The sequence below is a fragment of the Homo sapiens genome, chromosome 3 (genome assembly GCF_000001405.40).
Source record: "Homo sapiens chromosome 3, GRCh38.p14 Primary Assembly".
NCBI classification, from domain to species: domain Eukaryota; kingdom Metazoa; phylum Chordata; class Mammalia; order Primates; family Hominidae; genus Homo; species Homo sapiens.
Genome location: NC_000003.12, coordinates 56,292,850 through 56,311,780, shown reverse-complemented (window position 1 = coordinate 56,311,780; position 18,931 = coordinate 56,292,850). Strand labels below are relative to the sequence as shown.

The following is an 18,931-nucleotide window of genomic DNA, read 5'->3' as shown; positions in this document are numbered from 1 at the left end:
TGACTTGGAAAGGTATCTTGGTAGAGTTGATTAACGGGTAAAAATACATGGTTTGATAGAAGAAATAGACATAGGGTTCGATAGATCAGTAGGGTGACTATAGTTTACAATAATCTATTATACATTTCAAAATTGCTAGAGAATAATAATTTGAATGTTTCTAGCATAAAGAAAAAAATATTGGCCAGGCGCTGTGGCTCAAGCCTGTAATCCCATCACTTTAGAAGGCCGAGGCGGGCGGATCACGAGGTCAGGAGATTGAGACCACCGTGGCTAACACGGTGAAACCCCATCTCTACTAAAAATACAAAAAAATTAGCTGGGCGTGGTGGCGGGCACCTGTAGTCCCAGCTACTTGGGAGGCTGAGGCAGGAGAATGGCTGAACCTGGGAGGCAGAGCTTGCAGCGAGCCGAGATTGCGCCACTGCACTCCAGCCTGGGTGACAGAGTGAGACTCTGTCTTAAAAAAAAAAATTATATATATGTGTGTATATATATATATATATATATATATATATATATATAGAGAGAGAGAGAGAGAGAGAGAGAAGATGATGGATATCCCAAGAACACTGATTTCATCTTTACAAATTATATGAATGTGTTAAATTATCACATGTGCCCTGAAAATATCAACATCTATTATGATCTGTAAAAAAAATAGTACATAGTTCAACAATGGTTAAATCAATGAGTGAATGACCCACTTTATCTAGTAGTGTCCTGCATTGGGGGCGCCACTCATAGTTTACTCAGACTTTATTAATCACACACACTGGCTTTTCAGTCTGTTTCTCAGGACTATCCTACAGCATTGTGTTCAGAGTGCTTTCCTTCCCTAACTTTCCATTACCAAATAATCTTAAATCAGTAGTAAAACTGAAACTTTTTTTTTTTAAGTTTAGGGAAGCATTTCTCACACCTTCATGTGACTACAGATTACCTGTGGGTCTTGTTAAAATGCAGATTCTGATTCAGCAGGTCTGAGGTGAGACCTGAGATCCCACCTTTCTGACAAGATCCCAGGTGATGCTGATGCTTTTGGTCCAAGGATCCTCTGAGTAGCATGGAGGTCTGTTATTCTCCCTTCTCAGGGTTGGAGTGACTCAAGAAGTAGAGAGAAGCAGGGAGGGTACATGGGGAAAATCTCTCCTCTTTAAAACTTTAAAGTAGCAAGGACTAGAGTTTGGCTGATGAACCCAGGCAGCTCAGAGTAGGGGAAAGTTAATATAGTTCAATGCCTGCCACCCAGCTATTTGAAATGATATTAATTTAGGTAAGACATCTTACAATTCTGAAAAGTACTTAGATGGTTAGCAGTTTTGCTAAATGAACATGTTGGAGGGTGAAGAGGAAGTGACAGGGAAGGAAATTTCAATAAAACCTTTAAAACATCATTGGCATTAAACATTTGCTAAGCAGTTAAATGAAAGAGCCGTCCTATAATAACTGTATATGGCTGTGACTGTTAATATTATAAGCGTTTCTATTTTAGCTATCGTTTCTATCATTACACGTTTGGGGTAGCTTCTCAACACATTTTTAAAATACCAGTATTTCTTAAACTGTAGTTTTTTTTGTAACCTGTATCAGGTTGAGAAGTGTTGATAACAGGGCATGCCATTATCCTTTAGTTGGTTGTGGATTACTGGCTAACAACAGGGAAAGAACACTGACCTTCAAAACAGAAATGGTTGGTATTCCTGAGAGTCCCTTGTAGAGTTATTTACAGGTCAGTTAATGTGAAATAAATTATATCCATCTTCGAATTGGTCTTAAAACATCTATTTCCCTTTTTCTCTTATTTAAAAAAATGCCAAAGCGCTTAGCATTTTGTTTCCCACTGTTGCATTTATTTGATAATCAAAGATTTATGTTCATTATGCCCGTTTCTTTTCCCTGCCCAAATCGGAGGAGGGAGGACAGAAATTTTAATTCCAGGCCTCTAGCCACCACCAGTGTCTCAAAATAATGAAAATAGCTAACATTTGTGGAGCATTCATTATGTGCCAAGCCCTGTGCTTCAGGCTTTAAGGGAACTTGTTTGCTCACTCAGTAAGCATCTCCTGTGGTGTTTGTATGAACCCTGTAGTGAGTTACAATTATTATTTCCTGTTTACGGATGAGTAGCCTGATGCTCAGAGTACTTAAGTAATTTGTTCAAGGCATCACAGGCTGTCATGGGTAGATCCAGGATTCAAAACTCAACTCTTCACCACTGTTCTCGGAAGCTGAGACAAGTTTAGTGATTTTTCCCCAGATCACGTAACTGGTTAGTTGCAAAGCTAGAATTAGAACTTAAGTCCTTAACTCTAAGCTCAGTGCAGTATTCCAATATTGTGCCACCTTAGAGTATTGGTCTGTAATGAAAACCAGAACTCCTCTTTGTGTACAAAAGCAACTGCCAAGAGGGCTTTCCCATGTATACTGTTCTTAGTGCTATGAATCTTGGCAAAACGTCACATATTATCAACCAAAGTGAGTTATGCAGTTATCAATGACAGTGTGTGGGTGAGGAACCCAGAGTCCCAGTGCTTTTAAAAATCACCTATCCATATTCTTTATTTAGTTATATGTGCTTCTCCTTGGGGTATTCTACCCCAAAAGAGAAAGCCTAGAGGCTAGACCATATGTCTAAATATTAATTTTTTATACCTCCCTCAGCAGGCCAACTCTTCCACCACACACTGGGGCCACATGTTTTCAGCTGGTCTGCTGTTTGTCTTTTCACACACATGACACAGCCTAAGGAAGATTTGAAGTCATGAAGAGTGTTGTACAGCCTGTACATAGGATTACAGAGAAAGGGATCAGAGAACCTGCCCTTCACATTAATTACAGACAAACTAGGAAGTGATTAATAAGAAAATAAAGTCACAGGAGAAGTAAAGCAGGCCAAGTTGTCTGCAAAGAGATTCTGTTTTCTTTGAAAGAGTTATGGTAAGTACTTGCTTGAGAAGGAGTATGGATTTATTAAAAAAAAAAACTTCACGACTTTTGGATATAAGCCAATTCATATTTTTATATAGCTTGGAGACGGTTTTCATAGCAATGAAACCCTAAGCTGCTTTACAGTGCAAAACTTTATCATTTTTGTTTTTTCCCCATAGTGTGGAAAAGAGCTTAAGGTCACACAGTTTTTCAAACCTGCCAGGAGCTCATATTTTCCATGTTTGGAGATAAGACACAGTAGATTCTAAACATCTGGCTATTCCCTATTTAAATAATTGTGTGTTCCATGCACATCATACATATATAATTATATTTTCATTCTAGTTACCTTTCTGTGTTTTAGACTTCTGAGATCTGGATTAGATTCTGACTCCAGTAGCTATTGGAAGTCACTCTTATAAACGTTGGCTAAGGCAAAGTGTATTTTTCCTTCTTTTTTATATAAACTCAAGTAGGGCTTAGTTTCTTGTATTTTCATTGTAACTTCTTTCAGAACTGAATGAATATAGGAGCTTATATGAGTTGTTCAAGATGAAATTCTGTAGTATTTTTAGAGCAGGGGAGACTGTAGAATTGGCTGGAGGAAACCTCAATTTTAGACACTGGCCTGTATCTGCTAATGATGTGATTGCAGTCAAATCCCCTAAGCCACCACAATTTATGCTCTTGTGAAGTGGACATAGTGTTGGCAGCTTTGGAGCAGTATTGTCAGATGAGTGAGTGGTGGATGTGAGGCATGTGAGTTTTGATGGAGAGGACAGGACAGAGTAATCCAAGGTTAAGGAAACTCTCTGCACCCCCAGCCCCTCAATCTAGCTATAGCTAAGCAAAGAGGAATGGAAACCTGTTCTCTCTGAAATTGTTCCCTTGTGCCGACGGTCTGGTGAGACAGTTTCCCTCTGGTCCTCTCACCTTTCTTCTATACTTCATTATGAAAATTAGAAACTGTCCTTGAGAGGGTCATTCTGTGTGTGTGTGTGTGTGTGTGTGTGTGTGTGTGCAAGTGTGTGTATAGTGAATACATGATTATATGATACATGACAATAGAACCCTTCCTTTCCACTACTCCCCCAACAGAACACGTATTAACATCTGCAGAATGCTGTTTCAGGGAACGTATTTGGGGAAACACTATTGAAACACAGTCTGGTAAAAGCCATGAGGATGCTTAATGTTTCAGTGGCCTGATTGGTTAAAGAAGTACACCAGGTTAATGGTCTTGGCATTTTGGCTCCAATGTCACCAGTATTTGAAGTTGAGGACTCGCTTTTCTTGAGGGCTTGTCTAGAGGAACACACAGTGTCTCACTGAAGCCTTTGAATAACATTGTGAGGTCTACACTGTTATCCCCACTTTACAGATGACCAAACTATGGCTTAGGGGAGATTCAGTAACTGAGCTCTGGTAATTGAGAGACTCTCAGCCAATATTGCTCAAAACCCATACTTTCCTCCCTACACTGTAATTGTGCACTGCATGGAAAAGATAAATTGAGATAAGACGCAAGGATTCAGGTTGCTTCTTTACTTTGGAAAGGCAAAAAATATATACATTTTTCTTGTTGACCTGGTAGGTGATGATTTCAGGTGCTGCTGATGTTGAAGTTGGCTTCTCGTTCTTTGTGAATTCACTTTAGGAGCCATGTGCAGACATTTTCTAGCCAAACATCATGATTATGAGACTATATCCTACACCCCCTGCCCTTGGTAGGCCACCTTCCTGTCTGGATCCTGTGATAATCCATCAGTGCACCTCTGCACCAGGGCCAGTGTGTATCACAGTGCCCTGGCTCTGGCCTCTGATTCAACCATGCAGGGTGAAGGAGGATGGCTGTAGGCACAGGCTCTGCTGATACGTGGGGAGTGATGCTGAGCATATTGTGAGCTCATGCTTGCCACTGAAGTTATGATTTGTGTGTACTCTGTGACGTAAGGTAGGTCTTGCATCCCTGTTTTACAGATGAGGAATCTGAGATTCAGAGATGCTGAGACATTTTCTCAAGATCACACAGCTTGAAAGTGATAGGGCTGGGATTGGAACCAGGCAGCCTGGCTCCAGAGTCTGGGCTGTTACACACTATATTATACTCCTCCCACAGGTTCATCCAAGGAGATTATTCTATGCTGTTGGATAGGTACAAAAGAACACGTATGTAAATTATGGTATATAATACTAACATGAACACCTGGAGAGCCTCCCTGCCCCACCTGAGAAAATTACCCATCCTGTTGATGTTACACATGAGTGCTTCTCAGTTTCTATTTCTTCTTCTGTGTTATGATAATCATGCCCTTGAACCTTGTCTAAGTGAGATGATGTTGTATATATTCTCTGTTTTTACTTCTTCCGTTCAATATTCTTTTAAGATAAATTCCTGCTGCATGTAGCTGTCATTTGTTCTTTTGCACAATAATCTAACATCCCATTACATGCTTATGTCATAATTTATCTGTTTTCCTGTTGATGGACTATTTCTAGTTTTTGCTATTAGGAATAGTGCTGTACTGAATGTTCTTGTATGTGTCTGTTGTGCTCATGTACAAGTATTTCTTTAGGGCAGGGGCCAGCAGACTTTTTCTGTAAAGTGCCAGTTAGTAAATATTTTAGATTTCATGGGTCATATGGTGTCTGCTGCTTGACTCGCAATTGTACTACAAAAGTAGCAATAGACAATATATAAGGCTGGGAGCCGTGGCTCACACCTGTAATCCCATCACTTTTGGAGGCCGAGGCGGGAGGATCACTTGAGGTCAGGAGTTCGAGAACAGCCTGGGCAACACGGAGAAACCCCGTCTCTACTAAAAATACAAAAGTTAGCCAGCATGGTGGTGCATGCCTGTAGTCCCAGCTACGTGGGAGGCCGAGGCATGAGACTTACTTGAACCCGGGAGGTGGAGGATGCAGTGAGCTGAGATTGCACCAGTACACTCCAGCCTGTGCCACAGATGAGACTTTGTCTCAAAAAAACAAACAAACAAAAAAAAGACAATATATATGTCAATGGATATGGCTGTGTTCCACTAAAACTTTATTTACAAAAGCAGGCAAAAGGCCAGATTTGGCCCTTAGGCCGTAGTTTGCCATCCCGGCTTCAGGTATGGCAAATTCAGGTACCTAAGGGTAAAATTTCTGGGTGAGGATATGCATGGTGAGTTCTTGCATTGTTGCACTAGTTTACGTGCAGCAGCTGTGTTAGGAGTTCTTATTGATCAACATCCTTGTCAGTACTTGCTATTGTTATTTATTTTTGCTGCTGCTATTATGATTATTATAGTGTGTGTGTGTGTGTGTGTGTGTGTGTGTGTGTGTGTGTGTGGATAAGAGAGTGGGGTATAAAATGCTTTCTTGTTGTGGCTTCCATATGGCTCATGTGGTTTTCTGATTACTAATAAGATTGAACATCTTTTCATATGTTTATTGGCTGATCGTATTTCCTGTTCTGTGAAATGCCTGCTCATTTCTTTTGTGCATTTTTCAATTAACTGTTGGTACTTTTTTATTGAATTATAGGAATTCTATATATATTCTTGATAATAATTTTTTGTCATTTTAATGTATTGCAAGCATCATCTCTCAACTGTGGATTGTTTTTTCATTCTGTTTATAGTATCTTTTGTTGAACAGAAATTCCTAATTTTAACATTGTCAAATTTACTACTCTTCTTTTTATGGCTACATTTTTTGTGCCCTGCTGATAAGGAAATAACTTTCTTATTTTTAATAATTTATAGATTCTTTTGGGTTTTCTAAGTAGAAAACCACATAATACAATTGATGATAATAGAACTTTCCTTCTTTTGAATTATTATTTTTTTCTCCTTATTTTCTGGTCTTACTGTCCTAACTTAAGCCTCCAGGAGAAGGCTGATGCAACATTCTACAAGTGGTGCTTATAATAGCGTAATTTTATTTCTCATTTTAAGGGGCATGCTTCTAACATTTACCATTAAGAATGATACTGTCAGTTTGCAGCAGATATACTCTATAAGTTAAAGAAATTCCTCTTTATTTCTAGTTTGTAACAATTTTTAGAAAACACTAAGACTTTATATCTTGAGCTGATCATAATTATTTTTCATCTTTACTCTGTTAACATTATTTATAGAATACTTTGTCTAATGCTGAAGTATCCTCTAATTCCTATGAGAAACACATCTTGGGCATGATGTATTACCTTTTTAATATATCCCTGTATTCCACTTGCTAATAATACTCATCGTCTAAGTGTGAAGTTTGGACTAGAAGGTACCTTTCTTGTATAGTTCATGCCTACTAGCTTTGGTGTCAAGATGATCAAGTCTCACAGAATGAAGACTTTCCATTTATCTGAAAGTTTTTGCAAATTGGAATCACCTGGGCTTTCTTTGCAGGAAGAGTTTTAAAATTCTGATTCTATTTATTTAATAGCTGCAGAACTCTTCAGGATTTCTGTTTCTTCTAGAGTCAGATTATGTAAGATATGACTAGTCGTTTGTCCATTTTCTTGACATTTCAAAATTTGTTGGCCCAAAGTTAACAGTATTTTCATATCACCTTTTAAATATTTCCTATGTGTACTCATTTCTGAAGAGGCTTGTTTTATTAGTCATTTCAAAGAAGCATCATTTTGTTTGTGGCTTATCTCCATTGTGTCTTTGTTCACTAGTTTTCTCTTTTTTCTTACCCCATCTGTTAGGTTTCACTTTAAATACTTTATTTTTCATTGCTGTATATTTTTATTCTTTTTCAGATCTGGTTGATAATTTTGGAGAGTCACTTTTCCATGCTGATTCTTCAATTCTATATTTCTGCTGAAATATTTATTTATTTTCTTAAACATTTCAAAAACACCTTATATTTTGCATATGGCCATCACTCGTGGAAGTTTCCTTGTGTCTGTGGTAATTTTTTATTGTAAGCTTGTATTTCATTAATCTGAATTTTTTGGACTCCTGAGGGCTTTTGTTCTCTGCCTAATCGCCTCTCCCAGTCCTTGCCCACCCACTGCCTGTCCCCCTTACAAGGATTTGCATTTGCATCTGTTAGGCGCCAGGGGGCACTTAGGACCACATTCAACCCTTCTGCAAATATGGGCTTGCTAGAAGAATCTCAGTTCCCTCGCTTCAGTGAGTCCCAGTTCGCTCTCTCAAGCTCAGTGCTTAGATTGGCATTTGCTCCTTATAAGAAGAGGAAGAGAGACCAGAGAGTGCTCTCTCCCACAACCCCTCCCTTGGAGATTTCCCTTACTTCCTTGTAAGCTCAACTATGCTTTGAAAAGCATATTTGCTCTTATCTAGCTGTAGTGTAGAGGAGGGCCTATCAGAAAATGCAGTCTCCCGGAAGCCTAGAAATGGAAGTCATTATGACCTCCTTCATTGTCCTGGGATGGTATACCAGAGCTGCATGTTTGAAACTGGGAATAAATTGGACACACCAAGCTATTTATCTCCCCTTCCATTTGCGTATTTTTAATGCACAGATGAGTCATTTTAAGCTTTTTCCCTTTTGTGGACTGGAGATGGGGCTAGTCTTTACTATCCAGGGGAGACTTTAAAGTATGCAACTAAGTTTGGAAAAAGGCTAAACAGGATTGGGTTAAAAGCCAAGTATCAGGATAAATGTAAAAAATTCTATTTGTGCTCCTAGCAAAGTGACTGCAGACAGCATCCTGGATTCCCATTGTCACAGTTGCTTTACTTTCCTCCAGGGTATCTTTCCAGTGGCAGACAGTGGAGAATGGAGTTTGCCTTTTGAATTTTGAATCTTTGCAGACAACTGGAGAATGATCCCAGAAACAGGGTGGCGAGTAAAAACCTTTCTGAGCCCTCATTCAACCACAGACTCACTTTGCACTTGAGGAGAATTAGCTGTTTTGCCATAAGCGCTAAGCTGTGCTGTAAGTGCTAAGTTGACAGCAGTTTGACTGGGACCCAGGCATGAGATTGGATCACCTGGTAATGTCCTTTCCTAGTGCAAGTGGGTATTGGAAGGTCTCTGTCCTGATGTGCAGTGGAATGGAAGCCACAGAAAGAATGACTGAAGCTTTCAGAAGTTGAGACCACAGTGATGCCTGGGAGATTCCAAAGAGATGGCCCTAGAATACAGTCATGCAAATTCTGGTTTGTAGGTACTTGCTGTAGGTAACAAGATGAAATGAATGCCAGTGGAGTTTGGGTGACTGTCTTAAAAGAAGTGTGTTTTCATAGTTGGGAAAGGGTAGATGATTTGGCTTGAAGGAACCCCCTCTGGAGGAGGAAATTGAAAACTGCAGTTTTTCGTACCTTTCACTCAGAGAGAAGGTGCTGTGGCTTTGCTAGAGCGTTCACTTGTATTGTATCCTGGTCCTTTAGAGCTAGTTTTTATTGAATATGTCTTCCAATATTTACACAGTCTAATTCTGAGTACTTAGAAAAGAAGTCTTAAATAAATTGTCCTTGGATCATTCCATGTGATTTAACTACTGGATAGGACCCGGTGACATGGAAGTGAAGTGACTTAGGTATCTCTCATCCTCCTTGTCAGAGACACCATGGCCATTTCCTACATTGTCAAAGTGTACAGTTGTCAAAGTTCCTAGTCAAAGTGTACAGTTACCCCCTTTTGGTCTACTCTTAGGGTTATTGAAATACATACCAGGACTGAGTCCAGGATCCCAGAAACCCAGATTCTGGCTTTGTCAGTGTGTATCTGCTCTTGAGCCTGTCATTTCATCTGTGTGGATACAATTTTCTTGTTTATAAAATGAGGTTAATAAGGCAGTCTTTAAGGTTTCTTTGAGTTCTGAATGTTCCTATTCCCTGGCAGCAGATGGTTTATGTCTTTCTGAATATAGTTTTTTGTTGCTATTGTCACTGCAGCATATCCTAAGCCTATCCTGATTGATGTCTTACTCTGCATGTGGTACTTTCTAGAGCTTTATATGTATTAACTCATTTAATCCCCATTAAATGATTTATCCTCATTAAATTTAATGATTCCAAGGTAGAAGGAATTACTACTCTCCTCCTTTTACAAATGGGGAGACCGAGGCACAGAAAGTTTATCAATTTCTATGGATTATTTCTCTTATTATATTTTATAATTGAAATTGTCTATGTTAAATACATAACTGAAAATCTGGTAATTTTTTTTTTTATTTTTATTTTTTTTAGATACAGGGTCTCCCTATGTTGCCCAGGCTAGTCTTGAACTCTTGGGCTCAAGTGATCCTCTCAGCCTCCCAAGTAGCTGGGACTATAGGCATATGCCACTGTGCCCAGCTTGGTAAATGAGTTTTGAAACTTGATTGAGTTGAATTGCTAAAAAGTAGAACAATGAGAAAGAAGAGAGTAGGAGGGGGAGAGAAGAGGGGAGAGGGAGGATGGATAAGATTACTTCACATCCCCTCCCCGTCTTCAATTATGTAAAGCAAAAGGATGATCAAGGATCTACAAGGTATGTATTTTCCTCAAAAATCTTTTTTGTAGGAACAAGATTCCTATTTGATTTTGAATATCTTAAAATTAAAAGAAAATGAAAACTAAAAGAAAATGAAAAATTAAAAGAAAATGAAAATATAAACATGAATTTGAGAAAATTTTGAACACTAAATTTTATGGTGATTATGAGATTGCTTCATCATGCTGAAGTCATTTAGTGACTAATAGTGTGACTACCTGAAAAATAGATTTTGCTTCTTAATAAATGTACAGCCTGGAAGCATCCATCGTAACCACTTCTGAATAAGGAACAGCCTGGTTAGGATGGCTAATTCTTTCTTTTTAAATAGATATGGGGTCTCTCTATGTTGCCCAGGCTAGTCTTGAGCTCCTGGCCTCAAGTGATCTCCCATCTTGATCTCCCGAAGTGCTGGGATTACAGGTGTGAGCCACCACACCCAGCCAAGATGGCTAATTCTTATTTTTGAGAATTTCTATTTCTGTTATAAATGCCTACCTGTCTGCTTTTACTACTTCTCCCCTCCCCATCCTTTTCTCCTGCCATCTTGAAGCATTTGTCCCAATTCAGAGGCCAATGATGTCGTGGTTTGAACAGGGGCATTGGGGTCAAAGTGTTTGGATGAACACCTGTGGCTGTACCACTTACGTAGGTGGGTGACTGGGAGCAGGTTACTTAAGTACTTTTTGTCCCCATTTTCTTATGCATTAAGTGGAGATCATAACAGTTGCTACCTTTTAGGGTGGTTCTGAGGATTAAGACACCTTAGGACCATGCATGGCATGTGGTATTACAAATGATATACAGATTTTTGCTTTCACTGTTTCTTAATAGATCTGGTCTGTCCTTACCTCTTTGCTTTTACAGTTTCTCTTCTCTTTCCATCATTCTTCACAGGGATGACTCTCATTTGCCCTTCAAATAAGACATAGTTTATTGGTGGCCTCTTGGTTTGGGATGTTTTCCTACATGCCCCTAGCCTGGGTTCCCTCCTCTCTGCATTTCTAGCCACCTGGTTATGACTTCTATTGTAACCCTCATGACATAGTGTTGCTTCTATTGGTTTACTTGTCCACATAGACTTTGAATATGGGCTATTTTTTTTCTTTTGTTTTTCTTTTTTTTTTTTTTTGTATTTCATGAGTATGAGGGAGATACTCAGTAACTGTATATTGAATGGATAAATGGACCAATTTTCCCTCCATTCTCCTCTGCTCCCTTTCTTCTTTCCTGCTTTTCTTCTTTCTTATCTTCCTTCACTTCTGCCATCCTTCCTCCCTCCCGTTGCTGTCAAACCTGGCACTTGCCACCTTATCTTCATTATTGCCCACAGGAACCCTATAGTAGGCATTATGATTATCCCCACTGCGTAGATGTGGGGACAAAGGATCAGGGCAATAAGGAATGTGTCCATTCAAAGGGGCAGCTCCCTCACAGAGTGGTCTTTCCAATGTTGCTGTTTCTGTTCAAAGCATTTGGCAGTTTTTCTTTGGAATTTCCTTCTGGCTGGTTTACGAATCTTAAGAAGACCAATCTTATTTTTGGTTATGCTCAGAAAAGATCATTTCCTTTGTGATCATCCCAATTCATGATGTTTGACTCCAGATAAACCTGGATCATCTCAGAAATCCAAGCCACCTTCAAAGGACAAAGATTTGCCATGGTCAAGAATATTTAAATGACGGCCGGACACAGTGGCTCACAAGTGTAGTCCCAGCCCTTTGGGAGGCTGAGGCAGGTGGATCACTTGAGCTCAGGAGTTTGAGACCAGCCTGGGCAACATGGTGATACCTCATCTCTACAAAAAATACAAAAATTAGCTGAGTGTGGTGGCGCACACCTATAGTCCCAGCTACTTGGGAGGCTGAGGTGGGAGGATCACTTGAACCCAGAAGGTGGAGGTTACAGTGAGCCAAGATCATGCCACTGCACTTCAGCCTGGGGACTGAGTGAGACTCTGTCTCAAAAAAAAAAAAAAATCTATTAGCTGGGCGTGGTGGCTCACGCCTGTAATCCCAGCACTTTGGGAGGCCAAGGCAGGTGGATCACGAGGTCAGGAGATCGAGACCATCCTGACTAACACTGTGAAACCCTGTCTCTATTAAAAATACAAAAAAATTAGCTGGGCGTGATGGCGGGCACCTGTAGTCCCAGCTACTTGGGATGCTGAGGCAGCAGAAAGGCGTGAACCCGGGAGGCGGAGCTTGCAGTGAGCCAAGATCGCGCCACTGCACTCCAGCCTGGGCGACAGGACGAGACTCTGTCTCAAAAAACAAACAAACAAAAAAAAAAACAAAAAAAAAAAACAAAAAAAAACTATCTACCTATCTAGCTATATATGTATATATATATAGATATATAAAATGCCTCAAAGACAGTTGCCAAAGCACTCTTTCAAGAGTCTTGGCTGCAGCCGCATCTCTGGGCTGAAGGCTGCGGATACTCCTGTGGACTCTGTTCTAATGTGGTTTAAGGACAGCGGGTTGGTAGAGGAAGGTTAGATTACTTTATGGTCCCACCTCATGATTTTTGTGACAACTTTGTTGATATATAATTTATGTACCATACAATTCACTCATTTACAGTGTGAAATTCGTTGGTTTTAGTATATTCACAAAGTGGTGCAAAGGACACCCCTATCTAACTTGAGAACATTTTCATCACCCTAGAAGATGCCCCATACCCTTTAGAGTCCCCCCATTTACTCCACACCCCCCAGCAATCACTAATTTATTCTCCATCTATGGATATGTTTATTCTGGACATTCTATTAGTGGAATCATACAATATGTGGTCTTTTGTGACTGGTTTCTTTCACATGGCATAATGTTTTCAGATTTATCCATCTTATCCTGTATGTCAGCACTTCATTCCTTTTTATGGCTGAATAATATTCCATTAAATTGATATACTAGATTTCATCCATTCACCAGTTGATTGACAAATGGGTTGTTAACACTTTTTGACTAATATGAATGTTGCTGCTATGAATATTTGTGTCTGAGTCAACTGATGAATGGATACATAAAATGTGGTATATTCGTTCAATGGAATATTATTCAGCCATAAAAAGGAACGAAGTACAGATGCACACTACCACATGGATAAACCTTGGAAACATGCTAAGTGAAAGAAACCACTTATTGCATGATACCATTGATATGAAAGGTCCATAACAGGCATAAAGACAGAAAGTAAATCAGTGGTTACCAGGGCCTGGGGAAAGGGAGGGAGATGGGGAATGACTGCTAAAGGGCATGAGGTGTCTCTGAGGTAATGTTAAAAAATTTATTGTGTTGATGGTTGTACAACTTTGTATGTTACACTTTATAGGGGAGCATTGTATTAAAAATGAATAACCTCCATCATTAAATACATATCAGTTTCTTTCTCTGCATTCAATACCCTGAGAGGCACTGTGGTATACAGATGAGAATGCTCTAATAATTTCTCAATGGACATTCATAAATGGGAATATGAATTGGATACCCAGAAACAATATAATCAAGATGGTGCATCACCCAGTGCTAGTTTCTGGGTGTAGGCCACACTCAGAAAGATCTCAATACCTCTGAGTGTCAGCTATAGGAATTCAGAAAGATTTCAAAATGTTGACTGCTCCAATATTCATATAACTTATAGTATTACCCCATGCCTTACAATACTGTGAGTTCCCTGTGGGCAGGAGCTATGTCTTATGTCCCTCTTGATTCCTGTGCTTAGCACTGTGTTCATTCCACAAGCAGGATCATGTGTTTGGCGAATGAACAGCTGCTGTCTTGGAAGCATCTTGGCTTGTCCATAGGGATAGAAATGCCTTCAGGCTTGTGGCTGCCTTCTCTGACCAGCCTGGGGGTTTGTCCTATGGGGAAAGGTGTTGCCAAATTCATCAACTATCTTCAAGCACGGGTGCCTTTTCTCACATCTGATAACTATTTTGTTTCTCTGGTGCTTTCACTCTGACTTTGCTTAAAATGGTGACCCAAAATAACAGTTGCTTCCCTCTCTAGTAATACTTTCAAGACTTTCTGTTTCTGGGTCAGTGAGATTTAGGAAAACAAAAGGTGGGATAAACCTCAGGTTTGGTCTTTCTTTTTTTTTTCCATGTCTATCAAACGTCAATGCTATAAACTCCATGTAGCTTATGGGTCTTTGCTGTAATTAGAATTTTTTTTTCTTTTTTTTTTTCTTCTTCTGTGAAGGTACTTTGTGTTAAGTTCTTTCTGTTAAATATCCTTTGCTTGCACTGGACTTTTCTTTGTGTTGATTTTTTGCTTCATTTTTTTTTCATTTACCATGCTGTTCAGTTACTGGATGCCAGAAGAACCAAGGTTTGTCCACTCTTTGCAGCTTGTTTGTTCTGCTCTGTGCAGCCTCACCTCCTTGTGTGTTTGAGTGTGTTTGTCTGTGCCTGCATTTATTCCCTTTTGCTTGCAGATGCAGTAATCCTGTTTACTAAACCTGTTCACAGCTTTATTTGTAAAAAATAAAGTCTTTGTTTGTGTCTACTTGTAGTGGATGCTATTATTTTCATTTTTAAATCACCACATATTGATCGTGGGAAATAATGGATAGTACAATAAAGAATACCTTAGGAAACAAGGAATACTGAGTCTGGAGCATTCTGGGCATAAAGAAGGTGTGTTTGTGAAAGTTTCCTTCTAACCTTTTCCATTTCCTAAATTAAAACTCTGTAGATGTATAATTTCCCTTGTGATTGACACTAATCTATTGTTTCTGTGTGTGTGTGCATTTCTCTTCTCTCAAGACATTCAGAAAGCATCACTGAATTAATCTCCCCCTCTCCATGTGCTGTCCCATGCTTCTGAAGTCACCGTGGAGGAATTCATGGCTGGCCCTCCGGACCTCATGATTAACATTCCATCTTCATAGTGTGGTGGCAGCAAGCGGCACTTGACATTTTCATTGACTTTTTTTCCTTCTTTCTCCTCTCCCGCTCCATCTTTCTCATTGCAGCACCTACAGTTGACAATCCAGGCCCTTCAAGATGAGCTGCGAACCCAGAGAGACCTCAACCACCTCCTCCAGCAAGAGAGTGGCAACCGAGGAGCGGAGCACTTCACCATCGAGCTGACCGAGGAGAACTTTAGGCGGCTCCAAGCCGAGCATGACAGGCAGGCTAAGGAGCTGTTCCTTTTGAGGAAGACATTAGAGGAAATGGAGCTGAGAATTGAAACGCAGAAACAAACCCTCAATGCCCGAGATGAGTCAATTAAAAAACTTCTTGAGATGTTGCAAAGTAAAGGCTTGCCATCCAAAAGCCTGGAGGATGACAATGAGCGAACGCGGCGGATGGCAGAGGCTGAGTCTCAGGTCAGCCACTTGGAAGTGATTTTAGATCAGAAAGAGAAGGAAAACATACATCTTAGAGAGGTAAGAGCATTCACTGTATTTCCCCAAAGCCTTAATTTATAAGTGAAAATATGTTATCAAGTTATTTTCACAGGTTGGAAGATATCTACATCCTTAACAAAATTCCCTTTGTCATCTGCTTTATGACCTTCCTGCCGGCTTAAGACCATTAAACTGGAATTTTGTATTAGTCTTTGCTCACTGCACATGCATTCCATTATTATTCAGCACATATCCGCGATCCAAGCATATACAGGACATATCAACTGTAAGTTGGTTTATAAACAATTGCTTTCCCACAGGTGGCTGTGGTTTCAGAGTCTTTTAGGTATGGTACTATTCAGTTTAGTTGTTTATCAAATATCATCTCTCTAAAGGAAAAAATAAATAGGATTAGCAACACAATGACCCTAAATATTTTTATTACTGAATTGGGGATGAGATTTGCAGAAAGTAAAGCCTATGGGAAAGAATGGTAAAATGCACAGACCAATTTTGAGTGTTTAGGGTTAAGATAATTTTTGTCTGCATTTACATTTGTCTAGGACAGAGTATTACAGGTTTTCTGAGTATGTGTTTTGCCCTTAGTAGATTAAATCATTTGAAGTCCTTCAGAGGCAGTCTCTCTGGCCTTTTACCACCATTCAATGTTGGGATGCTCGTGTATCTGAGAATATGTGGTTGGGTAGAGCTTAGAAAAAATGTGGATGACTGCCAAGGTTTGAAATTTTAATAGCAGTTCCTTGCCACTGTGGTGGATATGGACCTTAAAAGTATCATGCAGGCAAAACTGCTGTAGGGAGACGTGGATCTCACAGAAAATAACAAGCAATAAAATGGCATTAAATATGTTTTCAAACTATTCTATAGCAATAAATAAAAATTCTAGAAGATATTTCCTTCTAGACCAAACTAGATTTCTTGGCAGTATACCTGTTCAGATGGTGGTGCTTCTTGTGAGTCACTTGTTTGGTTGGTCGGAAGACATGGCTTCCATGTTGGGATTTGCAAAAGTGCAGATGCTCCCAGGAATTTGCTCTGATGTGGGTTATATTTGCCTAGCACATAGGAAAAGACTTTTGTGTCTGCAAATTTAATGTCCTCTACTCCTATTCTTCCTTGTTTCGTTTTAATGATACTTTACCAACATGCTTGGGAAACCACATGGCTTGGTTTCATATTGAAAAGCTTAAAGAGATGTTTTGGTTGGGCCTGGTCTTCCCATCCATCTTCCAAGAGGGTGAATGTGGTGAGAAGACTTCCAAGATGGCCTCCAATAATCCCTACTCCTTGGAATTCACACCATTATATAATCCTCTTCGAGTATTGGTTGATCCTCATAACTTGCTCCTAAATGATAGAATATGGCAAAATTAACAGAATGTCAATGTTATTTCCAGGATTAGGTTACATAAGACTGTTACTTCCATCTTACTAGCAGACTCTATTGCCTTCATAGCTTGCATGCTTTGATGAAGCAAGCTGCCATGTGGAGAGGCCCATGTGGTAAGGAACTGAGGGTGGCCTCCAGCCAACACTCAGTAAGGAACAGAGGCACTCATTTCAACAGCCACAAAGAAAGGAAACCTGGTAACAGCCATTTAGTGAGCTTGGAAGTGGATCCTTTCCCAGTCGAGCTTCAGATAAGAAGACAGGTCCTGGGATGACATCTTGATTGCAGGCTGTGAGAGACTGTGAAACAGAGGAACCACTTAAGTTGTGCCTTGATTCCTGACACACAGAAACTGTGAGATAATAAATGTGTACTCTTTTAAGCTGCTCAATTTTAAGGTAATTTGTTACACAGCAATAGATAACAAATACAGTAGAGCAGAAAGTAATTTTCTCCATGTCTTACTTCATAGACCTCTCATGTAGTTTACAGAAGAGGAGCAACAATTACTGGCATGTTGTTACTTGCATGTAGACTAACTGTGGATTTTGGAATTTTTCTTGTGTTATCTCAAAACTGCAGTTGATAGAGGATCACTATAGTTGGAAAAAGCTGCTGTTTTATTTTGATGCCAAGGGGCAGCAAGGCTGTGATGCCAGAGAAATCTCCATCTGCAGCACCATTTCTCACTCCTTGTTGGGATCTTGTGGTCAGGGTGGAGTCATTCTTCTTCTGCAATTAGATTCTGCTCATTGATAGCACTTACTAGATGGTGCCTTATGTGGCTGCCTCCATTTAAATGAATCTAAACACAATTCATCTTGGGTTTTCTGAGATTGGCTGGTTCTCACAATGGTCTGGTGTGGATATAGATCATGTTTAGATCCCTAAACACCAGTTTGAAAGCACACAGAAGGGAGAACAGAAAGTGCAGACCAATACATTCAACTAGTTTCCCTGAGCATCAGACCAAAGTGAGTAGGTAGCCCTTATTTTAGCTCATCAAGAGGGGGAGAATTTGGAAAATACATCTGTATATAAAAGACTCATGTTAAACTTGAACTCAGCAAACAAGACTTGAAGGCCTGAAAGGATCATTCCCATGAGAAGGGTTGTACTGCCCTGTGAGAGCCATTTGTTAAATTCTCAGGAATCTCATGATCCTGGTGTTAAACCACACGTAGCCTGGAATTGGTCATATTTGGTGTATTTACACCATGGAAATTGGAAGATGCTACTCTTAGGGACTACCTTCCCCATTCCCTTGCCCATTCCTGAAAGCTGGTTTACTGGCACACCTCTGAATGAATGTTGTGAAATGTTTACCTCTAATACAGCAAGAGGATACACTGTGGAGTCATAATGTTACTTATTGGGAGAATTATGATTATGTGTGTATTAACCACTCACGGTTCCCCAAAAGTTTTCAAAATAGCATCTGTATGTGTCAGCTTATGTGTCAGGCATCATGAAGAATGCTTTACGTTGATTCACACTGAATCATCTCATTCATTCATTCATTTATTCATTCATCCATCCATTCATTCATTCATTAATCCATCCATTCATTCCTTCGTTGGATGAATACTTATTGAAGATCTGTTTTGGGATATAGCAATGATAATTAACAAAATGTACCTTCATGGTGCTTACATTCTATTGGGGGAAAATAGATGACAATTTTATGGTTTAAATAGAGGCGTGTCATGAAGAAGAGAGTGAAGCACTGGTGATGTGGGTGGGGCTAATTTTATGTTGGGTTGTCAGGGAAGGCCTCTTGGAGGGGGTGACAGTATG

General features: G+C 39.7%; 1 protein-coding gene across 21 annotated transcripts in view; it reads left to right on the top strand.

Moving 5' to 3' along the window:
- Positions 1-18,931, top strand: part of ERC2 (ELKS/RAB6-interacting/CAST family member 2) — a 960,157-nt gene that overhangs the window by 156,687 nt on the left and 784,539 nt on the right. For 20 of the 21 annotated variants that reach the window (NR_132749.2, XM_017006156.2, XM_047447950.1 and 17 more), the window contains exon 3: positions 15,346-15,762. Coding sequence is in view for 20 of the 21 variants with exons in the window: in XM_017006156.2 (XP_016861645.1) it covers positions 15,346-15,762 (417 nt within the window). In the remaining variant the exon portion in view is untranslated. Of the gene's footprint in view, positions 1-14,675; positions 14,700-15,345; positions 15,763-18,931 lie in introns of all 21 variants that reach the window. The other variant, XM_047447941.1, reaches the window with a different exon arrangement.